Source organism: Homo sapiens, chromosome 16 (genome assembly GCF_000001405.40).
Source record: "Homo sapiens chromosome 16, GRCh38.p14 Primary Assembly".
NCBI classification, from domain to species: domain Eukaryota; kingdom Metazoa; phylum Chordata; class Mammalia; order Primates; family Hominidae; genus Homo; species Homo sapiens.
This window is the reverse complement of record NC_000016.10, coordinates 67,982,441-68,005,842: the sequence shown is the minus strand read 5'-3', so window position 1 is coordinate 68,005,842 and position 23,402 is coordinate 67,982,441. Positions and strand designations below refer to the sequence as shown.

General features: G+C 52.3%; 1 protein-coding gene and 1 pseudogene across 25 annotated transcripts, besides 7 other annotated features; both read left to right on the top strand.

The window, feature by feature from the left end:
• Window positions 1,399–3,427, top strand: KARS1P3 (lysyl-tRNA synthetase 1 pseudogene 3; annotated as a pseudogene).
• On the top strand, window positions 5,224–18,453 carry DPEP2 (dipeptidase 2). Of its 25 annotated transcripts, NR_136706.2 has the most exons (12): window positions 5,224–5,395; window positions 6,095–6,576; window positions 12,586–12,893; window positions 13,207–13,333; window positions 13,650–13,779; window positions 13,864–14,005; window positions 14,659–14,728; window positions 14,904–15,022; window positions 15,712–15,796; window positions 16,445–16,520; window positions 17,786–17,991; window positions 18,083–18,449. NR_136706.2 is itself a non-coding variant. In XM_024450373.2 (11 exons), exons 2-11 carry the CDS (start codon window positions 12,631–12,633, stop codon window positions 18,335–18,337), a joined length of 1,500 nt encoding a protein of 499 aa, XP_024306141.1. In that variant the 5' UTR covers window positions 5,224–5,395; window positions 12,586–12,630; the 3' UTR covers window positions 18,338–18,453. The 25 variants fall into 25 exon arrangements, 22 of the variants coding, with proteins under 22 accessions (XP_024306141.1, XP_011521575.1, XP_024306144.1 ...); XM_024450373.2 differs by lacking the exon at window positions 6,095–6,576 and having other exon boundaries at window positions 14,846–15,022; window positions 17,817–17,991; window positions 18,083–18,453; XM_024450374.2 differs by lacking the exon at window positions 5,224–5,395 and having other exon boundaries at window positions 6,359–6,447; window positions 14,846–15,022; window positions 17,817–17,991; window positions 18,083–18,453.
• Window positions 7,420–7,936: an enhancer, noted in NCBI's record as "H3K27ac-H3K4me1 hESC enhancer chr16:68031810-68032326 (GRCh37/hg19 assembly coordinates)". NCBI's record gives its function as "activates a minimal SCP1, AML or CMV promoter by ChIP-STARR-seq in naive H9 embryonic stem cells {active_cell/tissue: H9 hESC(naive)}" and the evidence as "EXISTENCE:reporter gene assay evidence [ECO:0000049][PMID:30033119]".
• Window positions 12,268–12,527: a silencer, noted in NCBI's record as "silent region_7637". NCBI's record gives its function as "represses an Ori minimal core promoter by ATAC-STARR-seq in GM12878 lymphoblastoid cells {active_cell/tissue: GM12878}" and the evidence as "EXISTENCE:reporter gene assay evidence [ECO:0000049][PMID:35858748]".
• Window positions 13,188–13,257: an enhancer, noted in NCBI's record as "active region_11001". NCBI's record gives its function as "activates an Ori minimal core promoter by ATAC-STARR-seq in GM12878 lymphoblastoid cells {active_cell/tissue: GM12878}" and the evidence as "EXISTENCE:reporter gene assay evidence [ECO:0000049][PMID:35858748]".
• Window positions 15,647–15,706: an enhancer, noted in NCBI's record as "active region_11000". NCBI's record gives its function as "activates an Ori minimal core promoter by ATAC-STARR-seq in GM12878 lymphoblastoid cells {active_cell/tissue: GM12878}" and the evidence as "EXISTENCE:reporter gene assay evidence [ECO:0000049][PMID:35858748]".
• Window positions 15,747–15,796: an enhancer, noted in NCBI's record as "active region_10999". NCBI's record gives its function as "activates an Ori minimal core promoter by ATAC-STARR-seq in GM12878 lymphoblastoid cells {active_cell/tissue: GM12878}" and the evidence as "EXISTENCE:reporter gene assay evidence [ECO:0000049][PMID:35858748]".
• Window positions 20,623–20,917: a silencer, noted in NCBI's record as "tiled region #6452; K562 Repressive DNase unmatched - State 5:Enh". NCBI's record gives its function as "represses a minimal TATA promoter and a strong SV40 promoter by Sharpr-MPRA in K562 cells {active_cell/tissue: K562}" and the evidence as "EXISTENCE:reporter gene assay evidence [ECO:0000049][PMID:27701403]".
• Window positions 21,040–21,139: a silencer, noted in NCBI's record as "silent region_7636". NCBI's record gives its function as "represses an Ori minimal core promoter by ATAC-STARR-seq in GM12878 lymphoblastoid cells {active_cell/tissue: GM12878}" and the evidence as "EXISTENCE:reporter gene assay evidence [ECO:0000049][PMID:35858748]".

The following is a 23,402-nucleotide window of genomic DNA, read 5'->3' as shown; positions in this document are numbered from 1 at the left end:
TCTTGGGGGCCTCTACAGAGCCCACCCTCCACCCCCATGTGCTTATGCCAGCACATGTGATAGCTGGAGACTTATCCAGCCACCTCACTGCACACCCCAGCAAATGGCCAGCACCAGTGGGTGATCAGGAAATGATGCCCGGACAAACTGATAGATGTAAGGAATTTGAGGCTGGGCACAGTGGCTCACGCCTGTAATCCTAGCACTCTGGGAGACTGAGGTGGGCAGATCCCTTGAGGTCATGAGTTTGAGACCAGCCTGGCCAACATGGAGAAACCCCTGTCTCTACTAAAAATAAAAAAATTAGCCAGGCATGGTGGCGTGCGCCTGTAATCCCAGGAAGCTGAGGTAAGGAATTTGAGGCCTTTCCTAGAGGCAGCAGCTGGAAGTGGAGGGATTGAAGGAACCCCTCATCTGACCAGCTGCTCAATTTTCTTACCCACACGATAAGGCTGGTTCCTTAACTACACGGCCACGTGAAAAAAACAAAAAACAGGGCCAGGCACAGCGGCTCATGCCTATATTCCAGTACTTTGGGAGGCTGATGTGGGAGGATCACTTGAGGCCCGGAGTTCGAGACCAGCCTGGACAACATGACAAAACCCCATCGCTACTAAAAATGTGAATATTTAGCTGGGAGTGGTGGTGGGTGCCTGTATTCCTGGTTACTCTGGAGGATGAGGTATGAGAATCCCTTGAACCCTGGAGGCAGAAGTTGCAGCGAGCCGAGATTGCGCCACTGCACTCCAGCCTGAGCAACAGAGCAAGACTTCATCTCAAAAAAAAAAGAAAAAGAAAAAAAACACAATTTTGGGTCCAGGCCCTCTGGGAAGATGACTGCAGTACAAGGGGCCAAGGTTAAAGTGGATGGTGGTGAGTCAAAACTGAGCAAGAACAAGCCGAAGAGATACCTGAAAGCCGAGAAGAAAGTGGCAGAGAAGGCAGCCAAGCAGTAAGAGCTCAGTGAGAAACAGCTAAGCCCAGGTCACTGCTGCTGCCACCAACCATACCACTGACAATGGTGTGGGTCCTGAGGAGGAGAGCCTGGACCCAAATCAGTACTACAAGATCCACAGCCAAGGCCAGGCCCGGTGGTTCACTCCTGTAATCCTAGCACTTTGGGAGGCTGAGGCAGGCAGATCACTTGAAGTCAGGGGTTCGAGGCCAGCCTGGCCAACATGATGAAACCCCATCTCTACTAAAAATACAAAAATTAGCTGGGCATGGTGGCACATGCCTGTAATTCCAGCTACTTGGGAGGCTGAGGTAGGAGAATCGCTTGAATCTGGGAGGTGGAGGTTGCAGTGAGCTGAGATTGAGCCACTGCACTCCAGCCTGGGCAACAGAGCGAGACTCTGTCTCAAAAAAAAAAAAAAAAAAAAAGATTTGCAGTCAGGTAGGTCAATGGGAAAGACCCATACCCCAACGAGATCCATGTAGACATCTCCCTCACTGACTTCATCCCAGAATATTGTCACCTGCAAACTGGGGATCTCCTGACTGATATCACCTTAAACGTGACAGATAGGATCCATGCCAAAAAAGCTTTTGGAGGAAAGCTGAACTTCTATGATCTTTTTTTTTTTTTTTTTGAGATGGAATTTCACTATTGTTGCCCAGGCTGGAATGCAATGGCACAATCTCAGCTCACTGCAACCTCCTCCTCCCTAGGTTTAAGCAATTCTCCTGCCTCAGCCTCCCTAGTAGCTGGGATTACAGGCGTGCGCCACCACGCCCGGCTAATTTTGTATTTTTAGTAGAGGTGAGGTTTCTCCATGTTGGTCAGGCTGATCTCGAACTCCCAACCTCAGGTGATCTGCCTGCCTGCCTTGGCCTCCCAAAGTGCTGGGATTATAGGCGTGAGACACAGTGCCCAGCCATGAACTTCTATGATCTTTGAGCAGAGGGGGTCAAGTTGCAAGTCATGGCCAATTTCAGGAATTATAATTTCAGGAAGAATAATTTATTCATATTAATAACAAACTGCGTTGGGGAAACATAATTGGAATTCAGAGGAATCCTGGGAAAAACCAAGAAGGATGAGCTGAGCTTCATTCCCTATGAGATCACACTGCTGTGGCCTTGCTTGTATATGTTACCTCATCTTCACTTTGGCCTCAAAGACAAGGAAATAAGGTATGGTCAGAGATACTTGGACTTGATCCTGAATGAATGAGGCAGAAATTTATCATCTGCTGTAAGATCATCACATGTATAATAAGTTTCTTAGGCCAGGTGCAGTGGCTCACGCCTGTAATCCCAGCACTTTGGGAGGCCAAGGCAGGCAGATTGCCTGAGGTCAGGAGTTCGAGACCAGTCTGGACGACATGGTAAAACCCCACCTCTACTAAAAATACAAAAATTAGATGGGCGTGGTGGCAGGTGCCTATAATCCTAGCTACTCAGGAGGCTGAAGCAGAATTACTTGAACCCAGGAGGTGGAGGTTGCAGTAAGCCAAGATTGCACCACTATACTCCAGCCTGAGCAACAAGAAAACTCCATCTCAAAAAAAAAAAAAAAGTTTCTTGGATGAGCTGGGATTCCTAGAGCTTGAAACTCCCATGAATGAACGTCATCCCAGGGGAGCTATGACCAAGCCTTTCATCACTTATCACAACAAGCTGCACATGAACTACTCTAGAACTCTACCATAAGATGCTAGTGGTTGGTGGCATTGACCAGGTTTATGAAATTGCATTCCAGTTCTGGAATGAAGGAATTGATTTGACGTAAAATCCTGAGTTCAGCACCCCTGAGTTCTACATGGCCTAGACTATCACAATCTCACGGAAATCACGGGGAAGATGGTTCCAGGGATGGTGAAGCATAATACAGGTAGTTACAAGGTCACCTACTACCCAGATGTCCCAGAGGGATAAGCCTGCAATATTGACTTCACCCTACCCTTCCGGAGAATCAGCATGATAGAAGAGCTTGAGAAAGCCCTGGGGGTGAAGCTGCCAGAAAATAACCTATTTGAAACTGAAGCAATTGGCAAAATTCTTGATAATATCTGCGTGCAAATGCTATTGCGTGCCCTCCACCTAGGACCACAGCCAGGCTCCTTGACAAGCTTGTTGGGGGAGTTCCTGGAAGTGATTTGCAACAATTCTACATTCATCTGTGATCACCCCCAGATAATGAGCCCTTTGGCTAAATGGCACTACTCAAAAGGTCTGACCCAGCGCTTTAAGCTATTTGTCATAAAGAAAGCGATAAGCAATGCCTACACTGATCTAAATGATCCTATGCAGCAGTGGCAGCTTTTTGAAGAACAGGCTAAGGCCGCAGGTGATGATGAGGCCCTGTCCGTAGATGAAAACTTTGTTGCCGCCATGGAATACAGGCTGTCCCCCACAACTGCCTGGGGCATGGTTATTGACCGAGTCACCATGTTTCTCACAGATTCCACCAGCAACTCGGAAGGCTGAGGCAGGAGGATTGCCTGAGCCCAGGAGTTTGAAGTTTCAGTGAACAACACAGTGAGACCCTGTCTCTAAAAGGAAATTTTTTTTTTTTGAGACAGAGTTTCGCTCTTGTTGCCCAGGCTGGAGTGCAGTGGCACGATCTCAGCTCACTGCAACCTCCGCCTCCCGGGTTCAAGCGATTCTCCTGCTTCAGCCTCCCAAGCAGCTGGGATTACAGGTGTGCACTGCCACACCTGGCTAATTTTTGTATTTTTTATAAAGACGGGGCTTCATCATGTTGCCCAGGCTGCTCTCGAACTCCTGAGCTCAAGCAATTCACCTGCCTTGGTCTCCCAAAGTGCTAGGATTACAGGCGTGAGCCACCATACCCAACCTTTTAAAATTTTTTTCTTTTCTTTTCTTTATTCCTTCCTTCCTTCCTTCTTTTCTCTTTTTTTAATCTTACAAAAAATGTTTCGGAAAAGGTATTTTATTTTTAAGACAGGGTCTTGCTCTTTCCCAGAGGCTGGAATGCAGTGGAGCGACCATAGCTCACTGTGGCCTCTAACTTCTGGGCTCAAGCAATTCTCCCACCTCAGCCTCCTGAGTAGCTGAGACTACAGACATGTGCCACCATGACCAGCTACTTTTTAAAAAATTTTTTTGTAGAGAAGGGGTCTCACCATGTTTCCCAGGCTGGTCTTGAACTCCTGGCCTCAAGCAATCCTCATGCCTTGGCCTCCCAAAGTGCTAGGATTACAGGCATGAGCCACCATCTCTTGTCCCCTGAGATACTTTTAATGGCCTTGCTGGATCCAGCTCCTGCACCCCAGGGCCCTCCTGCCTCCTCCCCACCCTCGGCTGATGGCACTACCTCAAGGACATGGGATAGCATGCAGCCTTCTGTCCCAGATCCTCTGTACTGTCTGAAATCAGGCAGAACCCAGCTGCAAGAGGAACTCAATGGTACACATGGGACCCAAGTCATCAATCGTCTCCATCAGAAAGCAACCCAGGGCCAGGCACAGTGGCTCAGGCCTGTAATCCCAGCACTTTGGGAGTCCAAGGCGGGTGGATCACCTGAGGCCGGGAGTTCAAGGCCAATGTAGTGAAATCCCGTCTCTACTAAAAATACAAAAATTTGCTGGACATGGTGGTGCATGCCTGTAGCCCCAGCTACTAGGGAGGCTGAGGTTGGAGAATTGCTTGAACCTGGGAGGCGGAGGTTGCAGTGAGCCAAAGTGGCACCACTGCACTCCAGCCTGGGCAACAGAGCAAGATCCTGTCTCAAAAAAAAAAAAAAAAAGAAAAGAAAAAAGGCCGGGCGCAGTGGCTCATGCCTGTAATCCCAGCACTTTCAGAGGCCAAGGCTGGTGGATCACCCGAGGTCAGGAGTTCGAGACAATCCAGCCTCATCAACATGGTGAAACCCCATCTCTACTAAAAAAAATACAAAAATTAGCCAGCCTGGTGGTGCATGCCTGTAATCCCACGTACTTGGGAGGCTGAGGCAGGAGAATCGCTTGAACCTGGAAGGTGGAGGTTGCAGTGAGCCGAGATCGTGCCCTCGCACTCCAAAAAAAAAAAAAAAAAGCACCCCAGGAATGTTGGACAGAGAGGCTGGCGGGGTAGGGGTTGGTTGGTAAGGCTTGAGCAGAAGGTTCTAGATGCATTCAGGAGATAAAGATGCATTTGGGGTTATTGCACTTCTCCTAGAAACATAAACATTGACTTCCTTTTGTGGAAGAAAAATGTTATGTTAGCTATTTGACGTTTCAGGAAGGGTGGCTTCAGCTTGGTGATTGGAGGATGTTTGTCTACAGTGGCCAGGCTGCTTTCTGGCTTGGAAGACTATTGTTTCTTGGGAATTGTCTGTATCAGACATCATGGGAGCAGATCCAGGGCGACATCAAAGGGAAGCATGAGTCTCCAGGACCAGAGGGGCTTGGATGCAGATGATCATCATCTGGGCACTGCTGGATACTGAGTAAGCCCCAGCTGCACCCCACCTCTGCGCTCTGAGCATGGGAGGCAGCCTGTGCAGCTATAACTCAGCCTGACTTTTTCCTTCCCTGCATACTCTTGAAATACACTGGAGATGAGTAGGGGCGAGTGAGCTGCACACCAGAATAAGTTTGGTCCTTGGAGCAAACTGTTTCTACTGCTGCCTCCTCTGCAGGTCTTGATTTATGCAAACACTGCATAGAAGAGGAAGTAGAGGGAAAAGCTGTTCACCCACCTACTCCTTCCTGGTAGCAAGATTTCCTATCCTGGCCTTGCCTCAACAGCCCTACCAATTGGAGGCTGAGGTTGTGCCAAGGCTCTATGGGGGGACGTAGCATCACTGAGGTGGCCAGATTTTGGAGGACAGGAAAGTTTGTGCTATTTGCTGAGACTGGAGAGGCTGGTGAGAGCAGACTCTCCATGAGTTGAAAGCCAAAGAAAGAAATTCGGTAGATTTCTGCAATGAGAAGCCACGGAAGAACTTCAGGCAGGAGGATGCATTGGATCTTGTTTTCGTTTTGTTAGAGATGGGGTCTCACTCTGTCGCCCAGGCTAGGGAGCAGTGGTGCCATCGTCTCTCACTGCAACCTTAAACTCCTGGGCTCAGGCGAACCTCCCACCTCAGCCTCGTAAGTACCTGGAACCACAGGCATGCACCACTTTTTTTTTTCCTTTTTCTTAGAGTTCTCATTATGTTGCCTAGACTGGTCTCAAACCTCCGGCTTCAAGAGATCCTCTCACCTCGACCTTCAAATTACTGGGATTACAGGCATGAGCCACCATGTCCTACCAGACTTTGTTAAAAGAGGAACAGGCCAGGCATCGTGGGCTCACATGAACACTCATGCCCCAGAAGTAAACAAGTGTTAGCCAACCAGGAGGCCTATCCTCCCCCTAACCTCACCCAAAGCCATCTCTGTGCCCTCCCCCTTGCAGGGGAAACAGCACACACTAGTGAAATCTTGTCTTAGTGTGTCCGGAATTGGTGGGTTCTTGGTCTCACTGAGTTCTAGAATGAAGCTGCAGACCCTCGCAGTGAGTGTTACAGCTCTTAAGGTAGCGCGTCTGGAGTTTGTTTCTTTTGATGTTTGGATGTTTGGAGTTTCTTCCTTCTGGTGGGTTTGTGGTCTTGTTGGCTCAGGAGTGAAGCTGCAGACCTTCGTGGTGAGTGTTACAGCTTTTAAGGCAGTGCGTCTGGAGTCGTTTGTTCCTCCCAGTGGGCTTGTGGTCTCGCTGGCTTCAGGAGTGAAGCTGCAGACCTTCGCGGTGAGTGTTAAAGCTCATAAAAGCAGCATGGACCCAAAGAGTGAACAGTAGCAAGATTTACTGCAAAGAGCAAAAGAACAAAGCTTCCACAGTGTGGAAGGGGACCAGAACAGGTAGCCACTGCGGGCTCAGGCAGCCTGCTTTTATTCTCTTATCTGGCCCCACCCACATCCTGCTGATTGGTAGAGCCGAGTGGTCTGTTTTGACAGGGTGCTGATTGGTGCGTTTACAATCCCTGAGCTAGACACAAAGGTTCTCCACGTCGCCACCAGATTAGCTAAATACAGAGTGTCGACACAAAGGTTCTCCAAGGCCCCACCAGAGCAGCTAGATACAGAGTGTCAGTTGGTGCATTCACAAACTCTGAGCTAGACACAGGGTGCTGATTGGTGTGTTTACAAACCTTGAGCTAGATACTGAGTGCCGACTGGTGTATTTACAATCCTGAGCTAGACGTAAAGATTGTCCACGTCCCCACCAGACTCAGGAGCACAACTGGCTTCACCCAGTGGATCCCGCACCAGGGATGCAGGTGGAGCTGCCTGCCAGTCCTGCGCCATGCGCCCGCACTCCTCAGCCCTGTGGTGGTCGATGGGACTGGGCGCTGTGGAGCAGGGGGCGGCGCTCACCGGGGAGGCTCCGGCCGCACAGGAGCCCATGGAGGGGGTGGGAGGCTCAGGCATGGAGGGCTGCAGGTCCCGAGCCCTGCCCCCCCGGGAAGGCAGCTAAGGCCCGGTGAGAAGTCGAGCGCAGCGCCTGTGAGCTGGCACTGCTGGGGGACCCAGTACATCCTCCGCAGCCACTGGCCCGGGTGCCAAGCCCCTCATTGCCCGGGGCCAGCAGGGCCCGCGGGCCGCTCCGAGTGCGGGCCCGCCAAGCCCACGCCCACCCGAAACTCCAGCTGGCCCGCAAGCGCCGCTCGCAGCCCCGGTTCCCACTCGCGCCTCTCCCTCCACACCTCCCTGCAAGCTGAGGGAGCTGGCTCTGGCCTTGGCCAGCCCAGAAAGGGGCTCCTACAGTGCAGCGGTGGGCTGAAGAGCTCTTCAAGTGCCGCCAAAGTGGGAGCCCAGGCAGAGGAGGCCCCGAGAGCGAGCGAGGGCTGTGAGGACTGGCAGCACGCTGTCACCTCTCATTAGGAGCTGCCAATATCAGTGGCACAGACCTGAGCACAGGGATAATTTGGGGTCAGAGGCTACAGTCTAAGTTAGCTAGATGCTGGCAGTGGGCAGAGTGGAAACAAGGCAGAGGCGGGGAAACTCAGGGCCTGACTCCAGAGCCGACCTTAAGTGTCACCGCTGATTCCTCCTTACTGTCTCCCACCAACCCTGCTTCAAAGCATCTCCAAATCCTGGGTTCAACTTCCAAACATGTCCCAGGAATGTCTCCTTCCTGTTCCCACTGCTTCTCCCCCTTACAGGCCCCTTCATTCCTTACCCCTCCTGATCTCCTGGCCTCCAGCCCATTCCCTACAGAAAAGCCATACCTATTTCTTCCATTTTAAAAAATGTGAGCTGGGCGCGGTGGCTCATGCCTGTAATCCTAGCACTTTGGGAGGCCAAGGTGAGTGGATCACGAGGTCGGGAGATCAAGACCATCCTGGCTAACACGGTGAAACCCCGTCTCTACTAAAAATACAAAAAATTAGCCGGGCGTGTTGGCGGGCACCTATAGTCCCAGCTACTCGGGAGGCTGCGGCAGGAGAATGGCCTGAACCCGGGAGGCGGAGCTTGCAGTGAGCCGAGATTGTGCCACTGCACTCCAGCCTGGGCGACAGAGCGAGATTCCATCTCAAAATAAATAAACAAATAAATATAAAAATAAAAAATTTGGCCAAGGGTCGGGGGTGGCTCATGCCTGTAATCCCAGCACTTTGGGAGGTCAAGGCAGGCGGATCACCTGAGGTCAGGAGTTCGAGACCAGCCTGGCCAACATGGCAAAACCCCATCTCTACTAAAAATACAAAAATTAGCCGGGAGTGGTGGCATGCGCCCGTAATCTCAGCTACTCGGGAGGCTGAGGCAGGAGAATCACTTGAACCCAGGAGGCAGAGATTGCAGTGAGCCAAGATTGCACCATTGCACTCCAGCCTGGGCAACAAGAATGAAACTCTGTCTCAGAAAATAATAATAATAATAATAATAATAATAATAATAATAATAATAATATCATTATCTATTTTTTTACAGACAGGGTCTTGCCCTGTCACCCAGGCTGGAATGCTATGGTGTTATCATAATGCTCACTGCAACTACAAGTGTGGGTGTGTCTGTGATTCGCTTTGTATGGTCCCCTCAAGGCCACATTTGAGGACTGAAGTTGCATATCATGGAAAATTGTGTTGTCTGGCTTATCTCCTACAGAGACAGTGCTCACTTTTACTGGCTCAACTCAGCCTGCCTCTGCTGAGCTAGCAGGTACCCCAAGTCCCAGGAGGTCAGACATTCGGGCTCTGGAGAGAAGCTTAAAAAAAAATGCAAAAAGTTGGCCGAGTGCGGTCGCTCACACCTATAATCCCAGCGCTTTGGGAGGCCGTGGTGGGTGGATTACCTGAGGTCAGGAGTTCAAGACCAGCCTGAACAAAATGGAGAAACCCCATCTCTACTAAAAAATACAAAATTAGCCAGGTGTGGTGGCACATGCCTGTAATTCCAGTGACTTGGGAGGCTGAGGCAGGAGAATCACTTGAACCCAGGAGGTGGAGGTTGCAGTGAGCCAAGATCACATCATTGCCCGCCAAGATCACATCATTGCCCTCCAGCCTGGGCAACAGGAGCAAAACTTTGTCTCAAAAAAAAAAGAAAAAAAATTCAAAAAGTTGAATTCTCCTCACCTACTCTGTCAGCTGTTATTTATTTATTCCTACCTACCCCTTCCTTATTTTTACATTTTTCAAACTGACAAATAATAATTGACCAGCCTGGGCAATATAGTGAGACCCTGTCTCTAAAAAAAAAAAAAAAAATAGCCGAGTGTGGTGGCGAGTACCTGTAGTCCCAGACTCGGGAGGCTGAAGTGGGAGGATTGATTGAACCTGAGAGGTTAAGGCTGCAGTGAGCTGAGACTGCACCACTGCAGTCCAGCCTGGGTGACAGAGCAAGACCTTATCTCAAAAACAATAATAATAATAATTTGCACATATTCATGGGGTACATAGTGATTTTTGTTGTTGTTGTTGTTGTTGTTGTTGTTGTTTGGCGGGGGGAGACAGGGTCTCGCTCTGTCATCCAGGCTGAAGTTCAGTGGCCCAATCTCGGCTCACTGCAACCTCTGCCTCCTGGGTTGAAACGATTCTCCCAACTCAGCCTCCCAGGTATTTGGGACTACAGGCGCGCACCACCAAGCCCGGCTAATGTTTGTATTTTTAATAGAGATGGGGTTTCCCCATGTTGGCCAAGCTGGTCTCGAACTCCTGACCTCAGATGATCCACCCACCTCGGCCTCCCAAAGTGCTGGGATCACGGGTGTGAGTCACTGCGCCCCACCCATAGTGATGTTTCAATACATATAACACATAATGATCAGGTTCAGTTCCTCATTCTTTATGCCCCTTACCTCTTGGGGCTCTCAGAATAAACTGTTTATCCCCAAAACCACATCTTTGACCTGGAGACCAGCAAATCCAAGAGCTTCTCCTCCCTCTCACTATTCCAGTGGGTGTGGGGAGCTGCTGACCAGCAGTGGATGATGGAGAGAAGGAGGGAAGCCTGTGTTGGGGTACCCAAACCACCCAGATCTGGGACACGCCCTACTGTTCTCTGAAGCAGAGCCCAAGAGGACTCACCATCTGCAGTGGGCCTCCCTATAGAACCCTCCAGCAGGGCTGGGCACAGTGGCTCACATCTATACTCCCAGCACTTTGGGAGGCCAAGGTGAGATCATCACTTGAAGCCAGAAGTTTGAGACCAGCCTGGGCAAGAAGGCAAGACAGTCTTTAATTAAAAAAATAAATAAAAAATAAAAAAAAAGCCCAGGTGCGGTAGCTCACTCCAGTAATCCCAGCATTTTGGGAGGCTGAGGCAGGCAGATTGCTTGAGACCAGGAGTTCGAGACCAGCCTGGGCAACATGGCAAAACCCCATCTCTACTAAACAACAAAATTTAGCCGGGCGTGGTGGCGCATGCCTGTAGTCCCAGCTACTCGGGAAGTTAAGGCACAAGAATCGCTTGAACCCAGGAGGTGGAGATTGCAGTGAGCCAAGATTGTGCCACTACCCTCTAGCCTGGGCAACAAAGTGAGACTCTGTCTCAAAACAAACAAAAAAAGACCCCCTTCGGCAGCAGTAGACGTGACAGTTAACCCACCTCGAGCACTCGGCCATCGATCTGCCTTCCTCCTGGACAGCAGACACTGGGCAACATCAAGTGTGCAGTCCCTAAAATACATCAAAGCTGGGATCACTTCCCCTCCTGGGTAGCTTGGGACCTCCAGTCCCTTTGGAAGAGTTGGTTCATTTTCTTTTTAGGAGGCCTTCTTGAATCTCTAGTCGTCGTCAGGCTTAGGTCACACTACCCATGCACTGATCAGCCCTGCCACGTGGGGGAGGCTCCAAAAAATGAAGCGGTTCCAGGGGTGCCAAGGTTCAGAGCAGAGTCTTGAGAGCCTGAGGGGCAGGAGGAGGCAAAGGTCTCTGAGGACGAAGGGGTTTGGCCACAGTCCCGGAAGATCTCAGGTCGTGGGGCTTCTGTGAGCGGGCACATCCCCTGTGCCTGTGTGATTGTGAGCTTGTGTGCTTGTGTGGTTGGGGGTCCTTCCTGGAGGAGGCATCTAGGTTGAGGGCCCCAGGCCGGGAATGGGGTGGGGCCTGTCGTCAAGGAAGGGACTCAGCCCTGGAGGTTTCTGTGAGAGCTCAAGCCACAGGAGCCACAAGATAAGAGGAGTGTGGCTGCAGAACCCAGGTGGCAGGGCTTTCCTCAGGCCCCTTACTCCTGACCTGGACGAGGCCGGGGCTTCCTCAAGGAGGTAGGAGGTATCCTGGCCAGCAGATCAGCCAGAAGCTCTAGGAGGAAGGTGCTGCGGCCGGGGACTCTGCTGCCCTAGACAAGACTTCATTTCCTTCCATGCAGATGGCTGTGTGGGTTCCTGCTCTGTTGAGTGAATGTTCCCTGGCAGTGGCCAGATGCTTGCTGCGCTCTCATCCCTCCACTGGGGTCCTGGGGAGGTGTGGCAGCTCCTTAGGAAGGAGCTCTTTCCTAAGGCTGATTGGAGAATGTGCGGTCGGGGCGGGGGGCGGAGGAGTGCTCCTGACAGGTCCTAGTAGCTGGGAGATTCCCCAGAGTATAGGCTTGAGGGCCTAAGTTACGGGAGAGAGAAGGTCAGGGCCAGGGGGCCCCTTCCTGAATCCAGTCCACAGGGTTAACCCCTCATTTCCAGAGCCTATCTTCTCCCCCACACCCACCCACACAACCCAGCACCAGGAAATCCAGAGCCCAGAGCACTGTGGTCACAGGGACACATGTGGCCCTGGGTGTGGCCGGGACACGTTGCAGGCGGTTGGGGACATGACGTGGTCTGCAGATCTCCCAGGGCAGGGCAGAGGGCCACTGTTTGGGGGAAGCACCCCAGGCCCTCTCTCTTAGAGAGAGAGCCTAGGGGCAGCAGAGGAGCCACCTGGGTCGGCCCCCTGGGGACAGTGGGAGGAGTAAAAGGGAGGGTGGAGGGCCCTAAGACAGGCCGCGAGTGGGCGCCCAGGACAGGGATCCGCCCAGCCGGCGGGAGCGCCCTTGGGGATGACGGCGGGAGGGCTGGGCGCCCCCTGGTGGCCGTACTGGGCGGTGCCGCCGCTCTCCGCACATCCTTCGCGGGGCCCTGTGACTTCGTTACCCTCCTCTTGAGGCCACGCCGCCAGGTGGCCTGAATCGAGGGTCGGGACTCCATCGTCGCGCTCTGCCCCTCGCCCGCCCCTCTCAGGCTCTCTGACTGCCACCCCTGCCTGCCTGCCCGGCCCTGCACAACATGCAGCCCTCCGGCCTCGAGGGTCCCGGCACGTTTGGTCGGTGGCCTCTGCTGAGTCTGCTGCTCCTGCTGCTGCTGCTCCAGCCTGTAACCTGTGCCTACACCACGCCAGGCCCCCCCAGAGCCCTCACCACGCTGGGCGCCCCCAGAGCCCACACCATGCCGGGCACCTACGCTCCCTCGACCACACTCAGTAGTCCCAGCACCCAGGGCCTGCAAGAGCAGGCACGGGCCCTGATGCGGGACTTCCCGCTCGTGGACGGGTGCGTAATTGCTGCAAGGGGGCGATGGGAGCTGAGCACACTCCTGGGCAAGGGAGGGTCCCAGAGTATGCAGGGCTGTGGAGGAGGCTCCCTCACACCACCCCTGGATGCCCTCTCTCCCGTCATGCATGGGTACCCTTTCCCCTCTGTCATCCCCTCTTGGGTGGGCACTCCTAGCCCGGGCCTCAGGGGATCTCAGTATAGTCATGTGACAATGAGGGATGGGGATCCCCAGATGTGTCCTTCCTGAACTGGAGGGCTAAGAGGCCCATCTGTCTGTTCTTCACCTGACCCTGGCTTGACATCCCTCCAGCCACAACGACCTGCCCCTGGTCCTAAGGCAGGTTTACCAGAAAGGGCTACAGGATGTTAACCTGCGCAATTTCAGCTACGGCCAGACCAGCCTGGACAGGCTTAGAGATGGCCTCGTGGGCGCCCAGGTACCACAGGGATACACGAGGTGCCACAGCATGGCTGCTGGGGGATGATGGGGAGAGTGGGGACCCCAGAGATCACAAGTTAGTCACATGAGAACTCAGTTACCATAGTGACCCAAAAAGTGTCATGATATGGATGCTGGGGGCTGCAGAGGCTACAGTGAGCCAGCTTGGTGGCCAGGAAGACCCTGTGGAAGAAGCAGTACATTACATGTGGCCTCCTGGCCCACTGGGTGCTCTGTCAGCTGTGGAGGCTGTGAGCAGTCCAGGGTCCTCCAAAGCAGCCCCCATCCAAGCCAAACCCTGGCCTTCCCCCCAGTTCTGGTCAGCCTATGTGCCATGCCAGACCCAGGACCGGGATGCCCTGCGCCTCACCCTGGAGCAGATTGACCTCATACGCCGCATGTGTGCCTCCTATTCTGAGCTGGAGCTTGTGACCTCGGCTAAAGGTAGGCAAGTTGATGGGAAGCGTTAGGAACTTGATTGAGCTACTCCAGCCCTGGAAAGTAATCACCTGACCTACCTGCCCCCAGCTCTGAACGACACTCAGAAATTGGCCTGCCTCATCGGTGTAGAGGGTGGCCACTCGCTGGACAATAGCCTCTCCATCTTACGTACCTTCTACATGCTGGGAGTGCGCTACCTGACGCTCACCCACACCTGCAACACACCCTGGTGAGCCTAGTGCAGATGGTGTGGGACCGCTGAGGCAGGGGCAGAGATCTGCCTGAGGTCACTGTGGGCCCAGAACAAGCTTTACCCATGGGATGTGGCACTGACTCTGGAGTGGGGAGGGGAGCTGGGATTCTGGTTTTCAGAATACGACTTGACCCCTGGCCAGACGCGGTGGCTCATGCCTGTAATCCCAAAACTTTGGGAGGCTGAGGCGGACAGATAACTTAAGGCCAGGAGTTCGAGACCAGCCTGGCCAAGATGGTGAAACCCTATCTTGAAGAAAAACACAAAAATTAGCCAGGTGTGGTGGTGCGTGCCTATAATCCCAGATACTCAGGAGGCTGAGGCATGAGAATCTCTTGAACCCAGGAGGTGCAGGTTTCAGTGAGCTGAGATGGCACGACAGCACCACTGCACTCCTGCCTGGGTGACAGAGCGAGACTCTATTGCCAAAAAAAAAAAAAAAAGAAAAGGAAAAAAAAGACTGGACCCAGCAGGGCCCTCCTGCTGCCAGGCATGGCCCATTTGCAGGGCCCATTTTGGATCCCTGTTTTTGTTTCAGGGGGGTGCAGGGATGGAGGGTGGGTAGGGCCTCTAGACTCTTGAGGCCGAGGAACAGCTACCAGTCAGACTGCTTCCTGGCCACCCTGCAGGGCAGAGAGCTCCGCTAAGGGCGTCCACTCCTTCTACAACAACATCAGCGGGCTGACTGACTTTGGTGAGGTGAGGACCCTGGTTCACACTCCACCCCAAACAAATGTGCACACCCCAGCTGTTTCTTACAAATAAATGTATACACATGTGCACCCCTGATACCCTTCTCCCAACATGTCCCTGCAGAAGGTGGTGGCAGAAATGAACCGCCTGGGCATGATGGTAGACTTATCCCATGTCTCAGATGCTGTGGCACGGCGGGCCCTGGAAGTGTCACAGGCACCTGTGATCTTCTCCCACTCGGCTGCCCGGGGTGTGTGCAACAGTGCTCGGAATGTTCCTGATGACATCCTGCAGCTTCTGGTGAGAAACTGCCCAGCCCAGGAACCTAAAGCAAGAGGTTCAAACCAGGAGCCCTTCGGCCAGGCATGGTGGCTCACACCTGTAATCCCAGCACTTTGGGAGGCTGAGGTGGGCTGATCACTTGAGGTCAGGAGTTCAAGACCAGCCTGGCCAACATGGGGAAACCCCGTCTCTACTAAAAATACAAAAATTAGCCGGGTGTGATGGCATATTCCTGTAATCCCAGCTACTTGGGAGGCTGAGGCAGGAGAATCTCTGGAACCTGGGAGGCGGAGGTTGCAGTGAGCCAAGATCACGCCACAGCACTCCAGCCTGGGTGACAGAGTAGGACCCTGCCATGGAAAACAAAAACAAAAAACAGGAGCCCTCAAACCTGAGGCCCTGCTCCCTCCACTTCTTCCAACTTCAGGCTGAACATCTTTTGCCCCACAACCCCACAGTCCACATCCAGGAGTCGGGGGTTCTAGATGGTAAATATGTATATTCCTCTACTCCTCAAAGCAAGTGCCAAGACACCTATGCCAGACCAGGGCCTAGACTCCTCCCTTCATACAAAACCAGAGAGGTGAAGTTTCTGCTGACTCCTGAAGTCAGAGCTGAACACCCTCTCCAGGGATCCAGAGGGTGGCAGGGCAGGAATGCAGTTTGCTGAGGGGCCAGGCTAAGTGTCCACTTGCCCGCCCCTGCAGAAGAAGAACGGTGGCGTCGTGATGGTGTCTTTGTCCATGGGAGTAATACAGTGCAACCCATCAGCCAATGTGTCCACTGTGGCAGGTAACTCCCTCTCCCGGGCTCTCTGAACAGTTCTGATTTGCACCTGAAGACTTGGGAGGGCCCCAGGACTGTCCCAGTGGTTTCACTGAAAAAAATGCAGTGATGGACAGTACACAGCACATTGGTCACATGGAGCTGCAGCCACAGAGTCAGTGCTGCGGTCCTGATGGGTATAAGGGAGGAAGCCACACATAGAACCTGAGTGCTAACTATCTGCGCCTCTGCAGGGGATCCCCAAAGCACCCTTCCTCGGCCTCTGGCCAAGAGACTAGAAGGGGAAGGCCCCTTAGGTCTCTGGGGTCTTTGTCAGTTGTACTCTTTGTCCCTCCGTCATCTCCCACAACCATAGAAAAGAGTTCCTACCAGGTTCTCAAAGAGACTAGAGGCAGGTTTAATCCTAGGTGGGAAATGGCCCAGACAAGTGGCTCTGTGGATCCACTCCAAACCTGAAATCCAGGCCAGAACCAGCTGAATCCATTCAGGTCAAACCTCAGGGTTCTCAGGTTGCCAAGCTATGTGGCAGGCCATAAAGGAATTAGCCTGCCTGGCCCACAGGCTGCAAGAAGGAGACTCAGTGCCATCCAGCCCCAGTGGCACCCCTGCCCTGGAAGCCCTACGCAGCTGACTGTCCACCTTCCCCCTCCCCAGATCACTTCGACCACATCAAGGCTGTCATTGGATCCAAGTTCATCGGGATTGGTGGAGATTATGATGGGGCCGGCAAGTGAGTGCCTTCCCTGTGGCTTGTCTTGGGCTAGCTGTACAGCAGTGGGGCCTTCACGGTCACCATAGCCATCACGTCCTTTAGGCCTTGACCACACTCCCGGGATCAGTTCTCTGGGCTCTCCTGTTTGTCTTCATCCCAGTGACCCCACTCTAGGACATTATACTTGGCCAAACCACCAGACAGAGCTCATCTGCCCAGCACTGCACGTACCCCCAAGCCCAGGAGACTCACTCTCCCTGAGCAGACCATCAGCAAGGTCTGGTGTGAGCCCTGTGCACAGTGGCTGTGTTTGCAACCACTGTTTTCTGAAGAAGCTCTTCCTCTCCTTCTCCTTCTCCTTTTCTTCCTCGTCCTCCTTCTTCTTTGTCTCCTCCTCCTCCTTCTTTCTTCCTTTTCTTCTTCTTCTTCTTCTCAGGGTCTTGCTCTGTTGGCCAGACTGGGGTGCAGTGGCGCAATCTTGGCTCACTGCAGCCTTGACTTTCTGGGCTCAAGCAATCCTGCCATCTCAGCCTGCAAGTAGCTGGGGCTACAGGCATGTGTCATCATGCCCAGATAATTTTATTTTTGGCAGAGATGGGGTCTCGTGTTGCCCAGGCTGGTCTTGAACTCCTGGACTCAAGTGATTCTCCTGCCTTGGCCTCCTAAAGTGTGGGATTACAGGCCTAAGCCACCTCACTGGGCCTTTTCTTCTTTTTTTCTTTTCTTTTTTTTTTTTTTGAGACAGAGGCTCACTCTGTTGCCCAGCCTGGAGTGCAGTGGCACAATCTCGGCTCACTGCAACCTCTGCTTCCTGAGTTCCAGCGATTCTCCTGCCTCAGCTTCCCAAGTAGCTGGGATTACAGGTGTGCGCCATGATGCCCAGCTAATTTATTTTTCCTTTCTTTCTTTCTTTCTTTCCTTTCTTTCCTTTCTTTCTTTCTTTCTTTTTTGTCTTTTTAGTAGAGATTGGGTTTCACCATGTTGGCCAGGCTGGTCTCAAACTCCTGACCTCAAGTGATCCGCCCACCTTGGCCTCCCAAAGTGCTGGGATTACAGGTGTGAGCCACCATACCTGGCCATTTTCTTCTTTTTAACTCTGGTTGGTAGGGGGGATCATTTGCATTCAGTAAAAGGCATAGATCTTAATAGTATGATTCAATAAGTTTTGATAAATATTCAAGGAGGTTTTGAGGCCTCCTTCTGAAGGATAAAGAGCAGAGGAGAATTACCTACTCTCTCCAAGTCTCCACTTCCCATACCTGACCAGGGCTGGGGTTTCATAGACCCTGGACTGTGGTTCTGAGTCATGATCAGGGAATCAGGTCTGAAACCCACTAGCTGGTGGCCACACAGATTCCCTCAGGGGCTGGAAGACGTGTCCACATACCCGGTCCTGATAGAGGAGTTGCTGAGTCGTGGCTGGAGTGAGGAAGAGCTTCAGGGTGTCCTTCGTGGAAACCTGCTGCGGGTCTTCAGACAAGTGGAAAAGGTACTCTGGGCTGGGCAAGAGAGTAGCCGAGGGGTCTGAGCAAGTGTATCAAGGAGAGCTGTGGAAGCTGAGCACCGACTGCCACCTCTAGGTACAGGAAGAAAACAAATGGCAAAGCCCCTTGGAGGACAAGTTCCCGGATGAGCAGCTGAGCAGTTCCTGCCACTCCGACCTCTCACGTCTGCGTCAGAGACAGAGTCTGACTTCAGGCCAGGAACTCACTGAGATTCCCATACACTGGACAGCCAAGTTACCAGCCAAGTGGTCAGTCTCAGAGTCCTCCCCCCACATGGCCCCAGTCCTTGCAGTTGTGGCCACCTTCCCAGTCCTTATTCTGTGGCTCTGATGACCCAGTTAGTCCTGCCAGATGTCACTGTAGCAAGCCACAGACACCCCACAAAGTTCCCCTGTTGTGCAGGCACAAATATTTCCTGAAATAAATGTTTTGGACATAGAAACAGACCTGAGTTTCCTTCTCTGCAATGGGGACTGGTGGCATCGTCTCCCAGTGCTGGTGGTTGGTGGGGGATCCTTCATTTCAGCCACCAGTTGTTTAAGGAAAGACTGTTGACAGGAGCCCGAGGTGACCCAGGTGATTGGGCTCAGCACTGGATGAAAACAGTGGTGGATCCGGTGGCAGGAGGTGGACCCTATTCCGTGTTCCCTCTGAGTAGCTCATCTCTTTTTATTTATTTATTTATTTATTTATTTATTTATTTATTTACTTTTGAGGCAGAGTCTCACTTTGTCACCCAGGCTGGAGTACAGTGGCGCAATCATAGCTCACTGCAGCTTTGAACTCTTGGGCTCAAATGAAGCTTCTGCTTCAGCCTCTCAAGTAGCTGGGACTATAGGCGTGCACCACCACACTCAGCTAATTTATTTTTATTTTAGCTTTCTGGATTTTTTTTTTCTTCGAGACAGAGTCTTGGTCTGTCACCCAGGCTGGAGTGCAGTGGCACAATCTCGGCTCACTGCAAGCTCTGCCTCCCGGGTTCAAGCAATTCTCCTGTCTCAGCCTCCCGAGCAGCTGGGACTAGAGGCGCCCGCCACCATGCCCAGCTAATTTTTGTATTTTTAGTAGAGATGGGGTTTCACCTTGTTGGTAAGGCTGCTCTCGAACTCCTGACCTCAGGTGATTCACCAGCCTCGGCCTCCCAAAGTGCTGGGGGATTATAGGTGTGAGCCACCGGGCCTGGCTTTTTGTTTTTTGAGATGGAGTCTTGCTCCGTCGCCCAGGCGGGAATGCAGTGGCGTGATCTCGGCTCACTGCAACCTCAGCCTCCCGATTTCAAGCGATTCTCCAGCCTCAGCGTCCTGAACAGCTGGGACTACAGGCATGCACCACCATGCCCAGCTGATTTTTCTTTTTTCAGTAGAGAAGGAGTTTCACCATATTGGCCAGGCTGGTCTCGAACTCCTGACCTTGTGATCCACCTGCCTCGGGCTCCCAAAGTGTTGGGATTACAAGCTAGAGCCACTGCATCCGGCCAGCTTTCTTTTTTTCATTACTTCACTTAGAAGGAGGATTTTTAAATTTTTTTATAGAGACAGGGATCTCCCTATGTTGCCCAGGCTGGTCTCGAACTCCTGGACTAAAGCAATCCTCCCACCTTGGCCTCCCAAAGTGCTAGGATTACAGGAGTAAGCCACTGTGCCCAGATGGAGTAGGGTAACTTTGATTTACCTAGCCAACCATAAGCAAACATTTTAAACTGTGCTTATGTATTATTTTGATAACATTTAAAAAATTAATTGTAACTTCATGCCCTGTCCTTTTCACATGTCTAATGTAGGAAATAGGGAGTCCTCTGAACCTCTTCCAGTTCTGGGGGCTGCCCATTAAAATAATACTTTTTTTATTTTTCCTGAGACAGGGTCTCTGTCACCGCTGGAGTGCAGTGGCACAATCATGCCTCACTGCAGCCTCAACCCCCTGGGCTCAAGTGATCCTCCCCACTCTGTTTCCTGAGTAGCTGGGACCATAGGCGCGCACCACCATGTCCAGCTAATTTTTGTATTTTTTGTAGATACGAGGTTTCACCATGTTGCCCAGGCTGGTCTCAAACTGCCAGACTCAAGTGATCCACCCACCTTGCCCTCCCAAAGTGCTGGGATTACAGGCGTGTGCCACTATGCCCAGCAAAACAATTTAAAATAATAGGCTGAGAGCGGTGGTTCACACCTGTAATCCCAGCACTTTGGGAGGCCGAGGCGGGCGGATCACAAGGTCAGAAGATCGAGACCATCCTGGCTAGCACGGTGAAACCCCATCTCTACTAAAGACGCAAAACATTAGCCGGCTGTGGTGTCACGCGCCTGTGGTCCCAGCTACTTGGGAGACTGAGGCAGGAAAATCACTTGAACCCAGGAAGCAAAGGTTGCAGTGAGCCGAGATCACGCCACTGCACTCCAGCCTGGGTGACAGAGTAGCACACAAAACAAAAAAAAAACACAAAACAAAACAAACCCAAAAACAACAAAACAAAACTAAGCTAAAATAATAATGATAATAATAATAATAATAATAATAATAATAATATAGGAAACAGGTGCACATGCAATGCTTCTGCACTTTTCTTAAACTATTAGCAAAGTTGCCATTCTTCATGTTGTTCCAAGTCACTTAAATAAAGACCTTCTGGGCAGGCCGGGGAGATTTATGGGAGACCAAAATAAACATGACCTTTCTCTGCCCTTCCTGAGAGAACCAAAGCTAGAAGCAGCTGGGTCACACTTGGCCATTAACCCCCAGGCATGAGGAGGAGCAGACAGCAACCAACAAGGGGAAGTGGTCGCCAGAGGCCAAGGCCCTTCTTGAGGTGCCCAGAAGGGGATGCCCACTTATCAGGGAGCCCAGGTGGAAAAACAAGAGACAGACACAGACGCAGAGGGAAGATAATTTAGATTCGGTCTGTGTCATTGGCCTTTCTCAGCAGCAACTGGCCCAGGAAGTTCAGATGCTACCCAGATTCAGGGTTTTTTTTGTTTTGTTTTGAGACGGAATTTCCTCTTGTTGCCCAGGCTGGAGTGCAGTGGCGCGATCTCAGCTCACTAGAACCTCTGCCTCCCAGGTTCAAGTGATTCTCCTGCCTCAGCCTCCCGAGTAGCTGGGATTACAGGCACCTGCCACCAGGACCAGCTAATTTTTTTTGTATTTTTAGTACAGACGGGGTTTCACTATGTTGGCCAGGCTGCTCTCGAACTCCTGACCTCGGGCGATCCACCCAACTTGGCCTCCCAAAGTGCTGGGAATACAGGCGTGAGCCACCATCCCCAGCGTTGTTTTTTTTTTTTTTTTGACAGGGTCTCACTCCCATTGCCCAGGCTGGAGTGCAGTGACACGATCTCAGCTCACTGCAGCCTCAACTTCCTGGCCTCAAGTGATTCTCCTACCTCAGCCTCTGGAGTAGCTGGGACCTCCGGTGCGCACCACCACGCCTGGCTAATACTTTGTATTTTTAGTAAAGACAGGATTTCACCATGTTGCCTAGGCTGGTCTCAAACTCCTGGACTCAAGCAATCTGCTTGCCTTGGCTTCCCAAAGTGCTGGGATTACAGACATGAGCCACTGCGCTGACCCAGATGCAGTTTTTGTTTGTTTTGAGACGGAGTCTTGCTCTGTTGCCCAGGCTGGAGTGCAATGCACTCGGCTCACTGCAACCTCCGCCTCCGAGGTTCAAGTGATTCTCCTGCCTCAGCCTCTTCAGTAGCTGGGATTACAGGCACACACCACCCTGCCCAGCTAATTTTTGTATTTTTAGTAGAGATGGGGTTTCACTGTGTTGGCCAAGCTTGTCTCAAACTCCTAGACTCAAGCAACCTGCCCGCCTCAGCCTCCCAAAGTGTTAGGATTATAGGGGTAAGCCACCGCATCCGGCCCCAGATGCAGTTTTGAGATCTATTTCCCCTGCACCAGGATTTTTTCAACAGGAAATGACGAGGAGCTGCTGGAAGCTAGCCTTGTATTGTCTTTAAGGAGGATTTCTGCCCCAGGTGAAATAACGTGTCAGACCAAGCCCCCTCATGCTCTCAGGACCAAGAGACCTAGTCTGATCTTGTCCCTCAACTCCATGCCTTAGAGAATCCACCTGTGCCTCCTCCACAACAGTTGTTGTAATGCCCAAACTAGACCTCTGCTGGGCTGTTAGCCAACCCTGGATCCCCTCTCCACTCCTCCATGCCCGATCCAGACCTTTGAAGCAAGGTTCAGCTACTGCTGTGGTGCCTCCCCCAACCCCCATGACCCTGATTAGCCCTCACCAGCACTACCCATGATTTCCCTTAGCCAGTATCACCATAATAAAGAAATGAGATGCAAACTGATCAGGGTGCAGGTAGATCTCTTCCCGAGAGGATAACTGCTAACTAACATTTGATGTGTAGACTCTTCTGGGGTCTTTTTGTGTCCGGAATTGGTGGGTTCTTGGTCTCACTGACTTCAAGAATGAAGCCACAGACCCTCGCGGTGAGTGTTACAGTTCTTAAAGGTGGCGTGTCCGGAATTTGTTCCTTCTGATGGTTGGATGTGTTCGGAGTTTCTTCCTTCTGGTGGGTTCGCGGTCTCGCAGGCTCAGAAGTGAAGCTGAAGACCTTCGTGGTGTCACAGGTCTCAAGGCGCCGAGTCCGGAGTTCTTCGTTCCTCTCCGTGGGTTCATGGCCTCGCTGGCTTCGGGAGTGAAGCTGCAGACCTTCGCAGTGAGTATTACAGCTCATACAGTATGGATCCAAAAACGGAATAGCAGCAACAGCCATTGCAAACAGCAAAAGAACAAACCTCCCACTGCCTGGAAGAGAACCCCAGCAAGTTGCTACTGAAAGAGCGGGCAGCCTGCTTTTATTGTCTTATCTGGCCCCACCCACATCCTGCTGATTGGTCCATTTTACAGAGAGCTGATTGGTCTGTTTTACAGAGAGCTGATGGGCCCGTTTTGACAGGGTGCTGACTGGTGCGTTTACAATCCCTGAGCTAGACACAAAAGTTCTCCACGTCCCCACTAGATTAGCTAGATACAGAGTGTCGATTGGTGCATTCACAACCCCGGAGCTAGACACAGGGTGCTGATTGGTGTGTTTACAAACCTTGAGCTACATACAGAGTGCTGATTGGTGTATTTACAATCCCTTAGCTAGACATAAAGATTCTCCAAGTCCCCACCAGACTCAGGAGCCCAGCTGGCTTCACCCAGTGGATGCTGCACCGGGGCCGCAGGTGGAGCTGCCTGCCAGTCCGGCGCCGTGTGCCCGCACTCCTCAGCCCTTGGGCAGTCGATGGGACTGGGCGCCGTGGAACAGGGGTTGGCGCTCGTCGGGGAGGCTTGGGCTGCACAGGAGCGCACGGCGGGGGTGGAGGCTCAGGCATGGAGGGCTGCAGGTCCCGAGCCCTGCCCGGCGGGGAGGCAGCTAAGGCC